The 12,825-nt window shown below is 34.5% G+C and overlaps 1 long non-coding RNA gene across 7 annotated transcripts in view, besides 1 other annotated feature; it reads left to right on the plus strand.

Moving 5' to 3' along the window:
• The window catches only part of LINC02327 (long intergenic non-protein coding RNA 2327), a 138,162-nt gene that overhangs the window by 38,917 nt on the left and 86,420 nt on the right, over positions 1 to 12,825 (plus strand). For 2 of the 7 annotated variants that reach the window (NR_184195.1, NR_184190.1), the window contains one exon: positions 11,940 to 11,990. The exons of 3 other annotated variants lie outside the window; for them this stretch is intronic. This is a non-coding gene — a long non-coding RNA (long intergenic non-protein coding RNA 2327). Of the gene's footprint in view, positions 1 to 1,151; positions 1,266 to 11,939; positions 11,991 to 12,825 lie in introns of all 7 variants that reach the window. 2 more of the 7 variants (NR_184194.1, NR_184198.1) reach the window with 1 other exon arrangement.
• Positions 7,064 to 7,565: an enhancer, noted in NCBI's record as "NANOG hESC enhancer chr14:29345421-29345922 (GRCh37/hg19 assembly coordinates)". NCBI's record gives its function as "activates a minimal SCP1, AML or CMV promoter by ChIP-STARR-seq in primed H9 embryonic stem cells {active_cell/tissue: H9 hESC(primed)}" and the evidence as "EXISTENCE:reporter gene assay evidence [ECO:0000049][PMID:30033119]".

Raw genomic sequence — 12,825 nt, forward strand, 5'->3', positions numbered from 1 at the left:
ATTCAAGACATATTTTGCAAGTAATGCTTATAGGAATTGCCGCTGATTGGATGTGAGTATTGAGGAAAGGAAAAAATGAGGACTCAAATTTTTAATTCGAGTGACTGCAGTGACAGCTGAGATGGGGAAGGTGGTATGTCTGTGCATGCGCATGCGTGTCTGCCAGAGGGAAGTTCAGGCCTATTAGAATATATTTCCACTTCTGCACCCATCTCTGTAGTCTCAGAGGAGATGTTCCCATCCTAGTCTCTTACAAAACTTAATATAGAAGAGGGGAATGGGCTGGCCAGGGTGGCTCACGCCTGTAATCCCAGCGCTTTGGGAGGCTGAGGCAGGCGGATCATTAAGTCAGGAGTTTGAGACCAGCCTAGCCAACATAGTGAAACACCGTCTCTACTAAAAATACAAATATTAGCCGGGCATAGTGGTGTGGGCCTGTAGTACCAGCTACTTGGGAGGCTGAGGCAGGAGAATCACTTGAGCTTGGGAGGCAGAGGTTGCAGTGAGCCAAGATCTCGCCACTGCACTCCAGCCTGGGCAACAAAGTGAGACTCCAGCTCAAAAAAAAAAAGGGAATCTACTACCCATGTGTTTTTTCCCACTCAAGCATTTTTACCTTTTTTCTGTTTCAAAGATATCTGATTTCTTTATCTGTACAATTGTACCACAGTCTTTGTGATTCAAACTGGCTGATTGTTAACTAAACATAAATTTAAATAATCTGTCTCTGTCTCTGTTTCTTTCTCTCTCTCATACACACACACACACACACACACACACACACACACACACACAGAGAGAGAGAGAGAGAGAGAGACATATCCTTTGCTTCTTCTATATGTTTTCATTGACAAGTATTGAGGATTATTTCCTCGGGTCATCTCTCAGGTTTACCATTTTCAGAATCAATACACAACTATTTGAATAAAAAATACCTCTGTTGTTTAATTCAATAGTCTAAAACCAATCTTGTGCCCAATCATATTTTTTCCAAAGCTTATATACAATTATTAACATAACTTCTGCCCATTATTCTGTTCATAATGCTTCTTCAGCACTTTCTTGCTTACTTTCAGTGCTTTCTAAATAAGAACTTCTCAATCCTACCCTGGTAAACACAATCTCATTTTCATTCTCATCTTCCTTACTAGGTAAGTCTAATTTGCTAGGTGTGGCAATATGACCAGTGAAAAACAACAAGGGCAGCATTTCCTGCAGTTCGGTGGCACAGTATGGTTCAAAGAGGTATAAAAGGAAGTCACAGGGTGAGTCTTTCATAAAAGCTCCTCAAAAGGGAATGCGAAAATAACACAGTCATATCTTGCTCTTTCCTTTTCTTTTGCCTAGAATTCAGTCCCAGCACTGTATTATGGGTTGAAGACATATTGTGATTATGAGTTCTAGAGCTTTATATTATGAATCATGGAGCAGAAAGAGGGAAGGAACCTGGGACATTGATGATATTTTGGAATTCTTGATTCATAGCTCTCAGGGCTGAAACTGTTTCTAGCTGATGTGTGTGCTTTAAACATCATCTGCCAACTGGTGATCCTCTCCTGCTCATTTCATAAATGGATTCTTATTCTTCTATATGGAATCATTAGTGTAGGCAAACAAGTTTTTTTTTTGTTCTCTGAAATATCACCTGTGTTTCTGCTTGTGAGTCTTGACATATGCCATTGTCATTTGCCTGTGCATTTCCATCACTGGTTGGAGAAATCAGGAGGGCAGGCATAGTGTGTGAATCTTGTGTGTATCAAAGAAGCTCTGAGCCTCTGAGGATAGTGGCTTGCACATTGGAGACATTCAAAATTTCTTGAATGACATTTAATTCCCTTCTGGTGAGCTTATTTAGTCCCTATCCTTCCCATCAAATAGTAATTACTTGAAAATCTGGCTTAAAACTATTTTTTTTTCTGGAAAGTTTTCCATGATTAATCCCACCTGATTCTAATTGTGCTTCCACTTGGCATTTTATTGGTACTTATATAACTCTGGTTAATAAAAGTGTTCAGCTAAGTCTTGATGTATATCCTCGTTCTCCAATACATACTAAAATGCTTTGTGGGCAGGTATCTGGCACTGCACCCCCCCCTTTTATGGACAATTCCTATACAATATCTACATAGTATCCTATTATGAAGTAGGAGCATAATAAATATTGTTGACTACGTAAAACTGGGAGAAAGTTACTTGGGCAAATCTCCTACCTGATGTTATAATTTTCTCCCCAAAGGAATAGCTTCCTGTAAGAAGACTCAATTAATTAGATAACCACATTTTTAATTTATAAACAAATAGTTCAACAAAAATAACAATCTGTGATTTGGACACAAATCGTTCTAAGTAAGTACCATATCCATGGTATTATTATTTGTAATTATGAGATAAATGTATACGTAGGCCAGGCACGGTGACTCACACTTGTAATTCCAGCACTTTGGGAGACCAAGGTGGACGGGTTATGAGGTCAGGAGTTCGAGATCAGCCTGGCCAACATAGTGAAACCCCGTCTCTACTAAAAATACAAGAAATTAGCCAGGCGTGGTCGTGGGCGCCTGTCATCCCAGCTACTTGGGAGGCTGAGGCAGGAGAATCACTTGAACCCAGGAGGTGGAGGTTGCAGTGAGCCGAGATCGCGCCATTGTACTCCAGCCCAGGCGATGGTGCGATATTCCATCTCAAAAAAAAAAAAAAAATGTATAAGTATACCTCATGTAAATATTGCTGAAGCGGGTGGATCACCTGAGGTCAGCAGTTCGAGACCAGCCTGACCAACATGGTGAAACCCTGTCTCTACTAAAAACACAAAATTAGCCGGGCATGGTGGCCGGCGCCTGTAATCAGCTTGGGAAGCTGAGGCAGGAGAATCACTTGAACCCGGGAGGCGAAGGTTGCAATGAGCCGAGATTGTGCCATTGCACTCCAGCTGGTGACAAGAACTAAACTCCCACCTCAAAAAAGAAAAAAAAAATTCCCAAAGCACATCACCTACACTGATGACATTTATATTAATTGGAATGTATATTCTTTGGATGAAGACTGAAATAATTGTATAGCATCATGTGTTTGGCATTGAATAAAAGAACTTTAAAAACAGTGGAAGAATAAGAACAAGCTGAAAAAGCAAAAATAGTTCATTTTGTTCAGGGTATGTGCAAATACACTATGATCGGCAATAGTCTTTATTCACAGACAATTGATCATTAACTTATTTTAACTTTCTGAAGTTACTTGAACTAAGGGCAGCTACAGCTGTTAGTACATTACAGTACGTATCCAATTCACTGGTTTGAATGTGTTTCAGTGAAAAGGTGTAGTACAATGCAGAATAAAGGAAATTGAGGGAACAAAGCATCATTTCCACTTAACACAAATCTAAAGGTTAAATAGATGAGAACTAAAGACTTGAATTCATTTCCCAGAACAGTGCTTTATTACCAAAATAAACTTGAGACCACTACTTAACTGCAAAGTGAAGTCAACAAAGATGTTTGATAGTCATTAATCATCCTAAATAAACAGTACTTTTAAGTGTTTGATTGACACTGTTAGCATAAATTGTGTCCTTCTTTTTAAAATACGCCTCAGATTTTTATCATACACCTACATAATATAATACCTACCACTCTAGAATTTAACATCTGAGAGCAGACATTGATAGGAAAAATTGTCTAACCCTAAGAAGAGTCCAAAGTAACCATGAGGATGTTTTGTGGATGTTCTTCTAGTTTGAATGTGAATAAAATTGTTATTTTGTCCTTTAAGAGGTTCTTAGCAATTTGAAACATTTGACTATTTTTAACTGACTAAAGCTACATAGAGATAGCTTCAAACTTAGTTTAAACAAATTGTATCTGCCTTGGTCTCTTTCTCAGTATACATTTCCATGGTAAATATAAGGCCATGCTGCATACTTACTCAAATCAAATAGTTACATGATTGAAATTTTATATTGTCATATGTAATTTTTAATGAAGGATATGAATTAATACTGTCTCATAAACCTATAGCAAGCATATATTTTATAGCATTCTTTTTATATCTATATTCATGTTCACTAATGTTTCATAGGGTTCTAAACTTTACATTTTTACCACAAAAAAGGCTTAGAATTTTACCCTTTCCTCCCTAAAATATCTAACCTTATGTATATAGGAGTAATGTGACATTGCTTACTATTCTGTTTTTTATTCTTATTCATCTTATATTTCATTAAAAGCACAATGTAGTATGTGCAAGAATTTGTAACTGCAATATGATACTAATCTGAAAAGCTGTCAACATCATTGTCATAAGTGCCAAGAATTAGTGTAATCTGCTAAGATGCCATATATTGGCTATGTATGTCCTGAAAGTTTCAGTTAATTTAATTTAGTGCATATTTACTGAACACTCAATATGTGTTTAATGTGGGTTAAAAGTTAAACAAGACACCCTGTCCTTAGGATGCTACGATCTAGCTAGTAAAACATAAATCTCCACATGTTTACCAGCTCTGGAAATCACAAGACTTTGGCAAGAAATATCAAGGTGTAATCTAAAGTCTAAAGAGTATCGAATTCTTATTTTGACTTAGCCATCAATTATAATTTGTCCATGAAGTTTTCCTCAATTTTATTCTATGTGAGAAAATAATATTTGTTCTCAAAAACCTTAAAATACTAATCAAGATGTATAAGGTTCTTGTACACAATACACTGAATATTTTAAGAATAGGGGTCAACATCAGGCCGGGCGCGGTGGCTCACGCCTTAATCCCAGCACTTTGGGAGGCCGAGGCGGGCGGATCACGAGGTCAGGATTTTGAGACCAGTCTGACCAACATGGTGACACCCCGTCTCTACTAAAAATACAAAAAAATTGGCTGGGCGTGGTGGTGCGTGCCTTTAATCCCAGCTACTAATGAGGCTGTGGCAGGACAATCGCTTGAACCTGGGAGGCGGAGGTAGCAATGAGCCGAGATCATGCCGTTCCACTCCAGCCTGGGCAACAGAGCGACACTCCGTTTCAAAAGAAAAAAAAAAAAGAATAGGGGTCAACATCAAATAACATATATTGAGCTCACTGGAAAAAAAAATGCTTTGATTCACAAATTATGCATATCATTACGTTTACAAGTCACTATTATATGCCTTATGTTACCATTTTTAAAATGCAAGTTAAGTAATATATGCAATAATAATGCAAATCACTACTACCCGCAGTAGAATACTGAAAGACTGTCTAACATTTGGCAAAAATTATTTTTATTAAATCAAAGTAGTAGGGAAATCCTCACTAAAAAGTTAACAGATACTTTAAGCTCTAAAAAAAAATAGAAACATAAATAATTAGGCTACCATGATTTATGTAAATGTGGTATGATAGGAAAGCTCAGGGAATGAAAAAACAGCAGGGAATGCAACTTAACCAACCTTAAAATATCTATGATATATTGTTTTTAATGACTCACATGGCTTTTATTGTATGATCAAAATTGAGCGCAAATGTTGTGGCTATTCAGTAAAAATAAGTGGCTGCCATTGCAACATATGCATTTCCTGGAGTATGTGTTACTTCATAATTAAAAATGCCATAAAGCACTTACAGTACTAACATTATTTTAAGGGGACACATTTGAAGGAGATGGCCATGTTAACAATTATTTTGTTATAGTTCTATCATGCAAATGTCTTTTTCCTTAAGTTTATTTGAAATCCCATAGTTAAGTTTGTTGATGGAAAACATGAGGCAAAAGGTCTTGTTTGTGGAAATAGAAAGTAGTGTACATGAGGGGCAGGGTGTGTTTTGCTTGGCAGTTCTTTTGCTACCATTTTGTTTTTGTTTTTACTGCTTGAGGGCAGCAAATTGGCAGGTGCAAATAAGGCTCTAGCTTGTTTCATACTGTATTTACAATCAGTTATTATGGGTTAAAATGTCTGTGATGCATAGGGAATTAGGCACACAACTTCTGTTAAGAGTAAAGGAAGCTTAATGCCTAATTTCCAACGGGGCAAAAGTGTACTTCTTCAGCCTACTCTTGCAATAATTTCCAATATTTATAAGGTGTATACAATGGATCATTAGGGATTTTTCTGTTTATGTCTTATTTTGTACTTACGTAAAGTTTGAAATTTTGAATATACATATTTATATGCATATTTTTATCTAAAATTCTAATACAGCATATAATTTCCCATAATAACAAAAACTGGAAGATAATGAATAAACATTCCTCCACAATTAACTTGGGAGAAGAAGGAAGAGGGAGAGGAGAAGGAAAGAGAGAGAGAGCTTTCTCAATGTTAAATATTATTTGTTTTACAGTATCTATATAGCATATTGCATTTTAATTTTTGAAAATAGCGAATAGATATTTGCCTATCTAATTTGATGTAAAACAGAATTGTTTTATAATATACTTTGCACTTTGCTGTGATTTACATGTACCACATGGCAAATCATGTGTCAGACACATAGCAACCACTAGCAAATAAAGCTTAATGTCACATGATGACACAGAAAACAAAGGTTATAATATTTGTGCAAATATTGCTTTTTAGCAAGGAATTTTTATGCCAATCAAAGGAGAGTAAGAATATTTTTATAAAACATTTAGAATGGGTATTTCCACAAAACACTGATCCGTAGGAACTTTTTTGAGAACTCCTGGAATAGGGCTCCCCGTTTCTGTATTTGCTCTGTGCATTCAGGCAACGAACCAAGATAATCTTGACTTTGAGGAAGGAGAGTGGAAAAGGATTATAGGAGGGGAGTATGAAATAAATAATAAATAAACAAGTGACTGTTGAATAAAACAATTAGTTTTGCCGCAGGCTTCTGCAATAGCTTATGAATTCTTACCAGCCTTAGTTTACAGCTGTAACTTTAGGATATAATAGGAGATTGAATCTTATACAGGCAATGAAACAGATGATCAAATTCACAAGGGATTGTGTCAGGTTTTTTCCAGTACTAAAGAAACATATTAATCCTTGTCACTGTTTTCAGAAACGCTGTGACAGAAATAAACCTGTACTGTAACTTGGCCCTTTTAATGAGCTTCTGGAGTGTGGGCTTTCCACTCAGCACCTGAAAAACACAACAAAACACCTTTTATATTAAAGATGTGAGGTTTGCTGCTGGCTAAATTTGTACACAGAAGTCTATAAACCAGTGCTCAGCCAGCTGGGAAGCAAGAAAGCAAATTCAGATTCTGCCATGAACTTCACAGACCAATTATCTACTTGGAATCATGGGAGTTTAACAAACAAATACCAGCCCCTGCTGAGCCTTTTCAGGCCAGCAGCTTATGGGTGATTCAGTTGCATCCGAGGCTTTTAGACTGATCAATTCTTAATCACAAAGCACAAAAATTATTCTCAGACTCATGTCAGTTTCTTTGGACACCTTTGTTAACAATCTGCTTCAAATCATTTTTTTTAAAAGAAACCGCAGACACTGTTTTTATTGACTCCCCACTTGTAAAATGTTTATAGCTTGTTAATTTATATTTACCCCTTTACTTTTGCCTGCAAATCAACATCACTTAGCACAGTTTGGTTACACTTTGTCCAAAGGAAATTACAGAAGCCTGCTATGGGGCTAAAATGAAGGAAAGCTGCGGAAAATCAATACACTGCTGATTAAACAGATCGTAGCAAATTCACGGCTGTATGCTACAGTATGGAGACATCAGTGTGATGCCTATCTAGCAGTTAATGTGCTTTCAGTCAGGTGAAGAAAATTTCAGAATAAGGCAAGATCACCCAGAAAAACAAGAACTACCTTACACAAGAATGCATGTGTTTGTATGAAACCTACATTTTGTATAAGGTAGTATTCCACATGGGGAATTAATGGGATGCATTTATTTTAAGAAATTAAATGGTGTTATATCTTTATTATGACATTTACACTGAGTATTGTGAAAGAAACTAATAACATTGCAAAATCATTTCTATTATTTGGTACCACAAGTCAAGTTGTTTTATCTTTTTATGGAATCTTAGGTTTATCGACATTTTCTTGTATAATTTCTATTTGACAATTTGGGAATAGTCAAAATGACTGAAAGATAGAGTATTTGTAGAGGATATCCAAAAGTAATCATGATAGCCAATGAAAATAATCTAAGCAACTCGGAAAGAATCATTTTATTTCCCATTTTAGAGTAGAAAAATGAACACAAAATAAATCAGGTATAAAAAGAAAACGTAGTTCATGCATAATTAATTTTTTTAAAAAAATGTACTGGGAATGCATAATATTAACACAGCACAGTTATAAAGACAAACATTTGTTTTTTGAATCACAGACAAAGAAAAGCATTTGGGTTACAGGGATGATTTGAGGTATCCTGGCTAAAGCAAAGGTACTCTGAGTTAAAGCATAAACTCTCATTTCCATGCTACCCAGTTCTTAGCTTCTTCAAACTTAATGCTTTGAGAACGGTAGGAAAATGAACATGTCCTGAGGCTGGTTAAGAGGTGGTACCTCCTTCAGTCCAACTTGAAGGACTACATTGCATTGTACTGAGTGTGAAATAAGGAAATGAGGAAAAACAACAAAAAAGTTTAAACACAATTTTTTTGAAAAATACAATAAGAGTAATTTTTATCTCAACATCTCGTTAAGCTTTTTACTTGACAAAAATATTTATCCATTTACGTGTTATCTCTTTACCAAGAGTTTTATGTTTTGTTTTGTTTTTTAACTTAATACACTGAAGGAAAGTTTTCAGCTATATTTATCATTGTTCATTCAAGATAACTATGACTTTGATATGTTATGGTATTCTGGCAGATAAGTTTTCATAGTAAATTCTTCTACTAAAAAAATACTTGAGAAAATTATGTTCTATACACAAGAGCCAACTTAAGTCTCAATCTCTGTTGTTTTTAATTCTCTCTTTTTCCAAATATCAAAGTCTTTCAAATGGTAACATGGTTAAGTTCTTTGCCAAATTTCATGTGTTAAAATGAAGGTGTTTTTGAGTCATCAAAGCTTATAAAAAGACCTTTAACAAGTAAACAGCTTTTCTCCTTTTTTTAAAAAAAAACTGGAAGATGTGGTATAAGAAAACACATTCATGGACACCATATGTGAACCAAGTTTCATCCCAAGATTTTGAGATTTTTGAGAATTCCTAGAAAATGAGGGATTTAAATTTTATAGTCTTAAGAGGTCCAGTCAGTAACACTATTTTCATATGTATCTATCTGTATGTATATATATATGAATATAGGTACTGTATATGTGTATCTAAATCTCAAGGTGTTATGCTTTGATTATTTTATATAAAATACTTGTTAATCTTGTTTCGGGAAAAAAAAAACGGGACTAGGTCTTCAATAGTTCAGGAACCTGAAAAATAATAATTATTTCAGCATTTCTAAAAAAATATCATCACTTTCTTATATTATGATAAACTATCAAGTTTTTTCACATGTAAGATTAAAAAAAGAGATCACTCATACTCAACAAAACAGTGTTTTGTAACACTAGAAGAGTAAAGCAATGGATATCAATGGAAATAAAATATGGTTTAGAAAATGTAGACAAATATTTATATTTTAAATCCTTATTGGTTTGCTAGGTTGTGTTCTTGTGGATGTACTTTCAGATTTTTTTTCTTTGTGGCATCAAAGAAAACCTAAATTGAAGTGACATATTGGAATAAAAGGAGATAATGGAAGAAGGAAGGGCTGAATAATGTGAATATAAACTTCTAAGCAAAAATTATTTTTTAAGTCTTACAATAGATGTACATATTTTTATATTTTTATAGTCTAATAACATTGCTTGTTTGTAAGCATACTTTACTTTAGATGAAAATCTGTACTCTCTGTAATTCTGATAGTTGGCAGGGGTTTGAATACTCTTTGGTAGAAACCCACTTTTTCGTATTAATACGTGGTAATTTATCACCATTAAGTATAAGATCCCTCTGGAAAAAAAAGCTGATGCACATTGCTCTCTAGACTATAATTTCAATGTTCATGATATTAATCTTTAATTAAATTATAGTTATTTTAGAAATGTATATCCTTAATTAAATTATACCACGCATATAAAGAAGAAATGACTATGGCACGATTAAAACATGTTTAAAAATATACTACTGAATTTTGAATGCTGTCTGTCATCTCCAAAGTATGACTAACTAGGCTTCAGAAATGACTACAAAGTCAACTGAAAAATTGCCAAGTAAGACTGGCTCTTTAAAGAACTGTGCATTAAAATTTTGGACAGTTTCTCAATTAAATCTAAATATACTTCTTATATTACATACAGTATTACATTTTTAAATTAATTGCCATACTCCCATTTGTTAAAGAATTTCACTCCATGGGAAAAGCAAAGTCTCACTAGACGTGAATTTTACACTGTGCTAGATCAATCCCAATACCAGTAAATGGATATTATTAAACAGCATGGGGTAGTGCAAACTGGGAAAGAAAACTTGTAGTGTGCTGCCTTTGAGCAGACCTGGCTTGCATGCTGTGACAGGGCAATTGTCGACATGCTTTTTCATGCCAATCTGCAGCTTTTTCAACTCTAGATGCTATGGCAACCAGGGTTTAACAGACTAAGCAGCTAACAAGCTTCCCTGATGGAATTGTCTGGTTGTGTGATTGCCTTGTCTTAGGGAAAATATAAAATAGAATGAAGACGCTTGTGGACATTTGTCAAACTGATTATAATTTGGACAGTTGAATCATAATTGTCTGTTGTGTACCGTACAGTAGTGACATGCTATTTTCCACGTTCCTTGCAGAGCACACCATTGCATTCCCGCATAGGCTATGCTTCCCTTGGGAACAATGGGTCCTGGTTGCTGTGGGTTTGGTGCAACATGGCAGTCCACATTGCACACCAGATCATATGGGAAAGAAAAGAACAAGGAACAGTTCTAATTTTTTTCTCTTTGAAAAGTCTTGTGTTTGATTTGAGCTATATTTATATGAAATATAATGAATACAAGTTGATGTGAAAAGATATTTCTCTTTCATAAAATGTTCATGTTCATAGGGTAAGTTGTAAATCAAAATATGCAGGTGAATTAATTTGTTATTTATGATTGGGCATAATTTTAGTTCTTTGGGAATATTGATTTTTTAAATTTGCAACCACTTAAACATGCATTTGTGTCACCAATCATATGCATAATTTAAAACACTGAGAAAATAATCAAGCTTCTCTGATGGAATGGTCTCGTTTTAATATTGCCTTGTCCTATTGAAAATGAATAGAAGACACTCTCTTTATCATTTTAAATGATTAAAAGCCTACTAATAAAATTTAGGACTCTTTAAGCAGTCAAAGGCATTGTGTTTTCAAGATCATTTTATACCAAACTTCTAGTTTTTGCTTAGAAGGGATATGTCTTTTAAAAAATTAAAATAATAAAAAAATTCAAATGAAAAGCGAATTATTATTTTTAAAAATCTGGGTTCCATTTTACAGGCAGACATTTAAAAAATGAACTATTTTGCAAGACAACCTCACTAATTATAGAATATAGATTTTATAGGTTGTCGTGAAACATATTGTTTTGTACTTTCAAAAACATCTATGTTATGTCTTGAAGATAAAACTTGATATTTTTAGAAGGCTCAGAACTAGTGGAAGGTTGTTAAGTTGATGGTAAGATTTTAGCTAGTGCTTGGCCTCATAGAAAGGGTACAAATGATTCCATTAGCACACTCATCTGGGCCACATGTCACCAACCACAGAGTTCTGCTGTTTTTTTATTTTTTGTTTTGAAATACTTATTTAAATTTTGAAATACTTCAAATTGGTGTCCTTGATTTGAGACAGTAGAATAGACCATCGTCCACGTTGCCTTTTAAAAAAAATCTTCAAAATCATATACAATGATTTATGTCTAGATGGTGCGATTTCTAAAGCAGACCCATTTCTAGTTTGAGAGATCTATTTATTTTCTTAAACAGGTCTCAGAGTGAGAACAATGTCTTCTATGATGAGTGGCAAACACAACAAGGGTAAGAAATGAATTGGGAACATAGTGCTCACTATATAAAGAACATCTTCTAGACTAGGTTGTAAAAAACCTATTGCAGAGTTATAGTGTACCAAAATTAATAACCTAGGAATCACTGCCAAGAAAACTTTATTCGATATTAACATTAATATTTTTTCACAAAATAGTTTTAGTCACTGGGCTACCAGGTCTTCTCTTCTAATTTTATTTTAGTTTTGAAATTAGCCTTCTTTATTGGGTACCTTTATGCCTGTCACTTTCCTGTTGTTAGCTAGTGTTACAACAGAGAAACCTTTGTTCCTTCTATCTCCTTGAAGAATATAACTTTTTCCCTACCCTTCAGGGAGCTTAACTGAGTCATAGGCTATGTTAATATCATTTGAAGTTAAGGAAAAGCATATATTTTCAATGATAATGTGGAGTGTCAGTTTTCTTCTGAGTACCAAGACTACAGATTAGGATAACAGAGATGAGGGATTCTGCCTTTGAATTCACTGAAACTCTTTTTTATTCAATGGACTCAAGCTTAGAATGTGACAAATAGTACCTACTTTGGAGTTTAAAGAGCTATACCTGAAAGCAAAGGAATACTTTAAGTCACCATAGAACAGAGGTGAAAGTCAGGGTACTTTATATTAGTTCAATGATGATTTTCCAGAGTATAAGAAAATTATAGTTGAAGGTGCAAGTATTTTTCTTCTTAAGAACTGAAAGCAAATAAGAAAGGGTATTTATTCAGTTACTAAAGAAAATTTCAGCAAAAATGGGAAGCCGCCATGCATTTGTGAAACATTTTGCTTTACGCCCATTATTTAAAGTTATTATTTATCATCTAA

The sequence above is a fragment of the Homo sapiens genome, chromosome 14 (genome assembly GCF_000001405.40).
Source record: "Homo sapiens chromosome 14, GRCh38.p14 Primary Assembly".
NCBI lineage: Eukaryota > Metazoa > Chordata > Mammalia > Primates > Hominidae > Homo > Homo sapiens.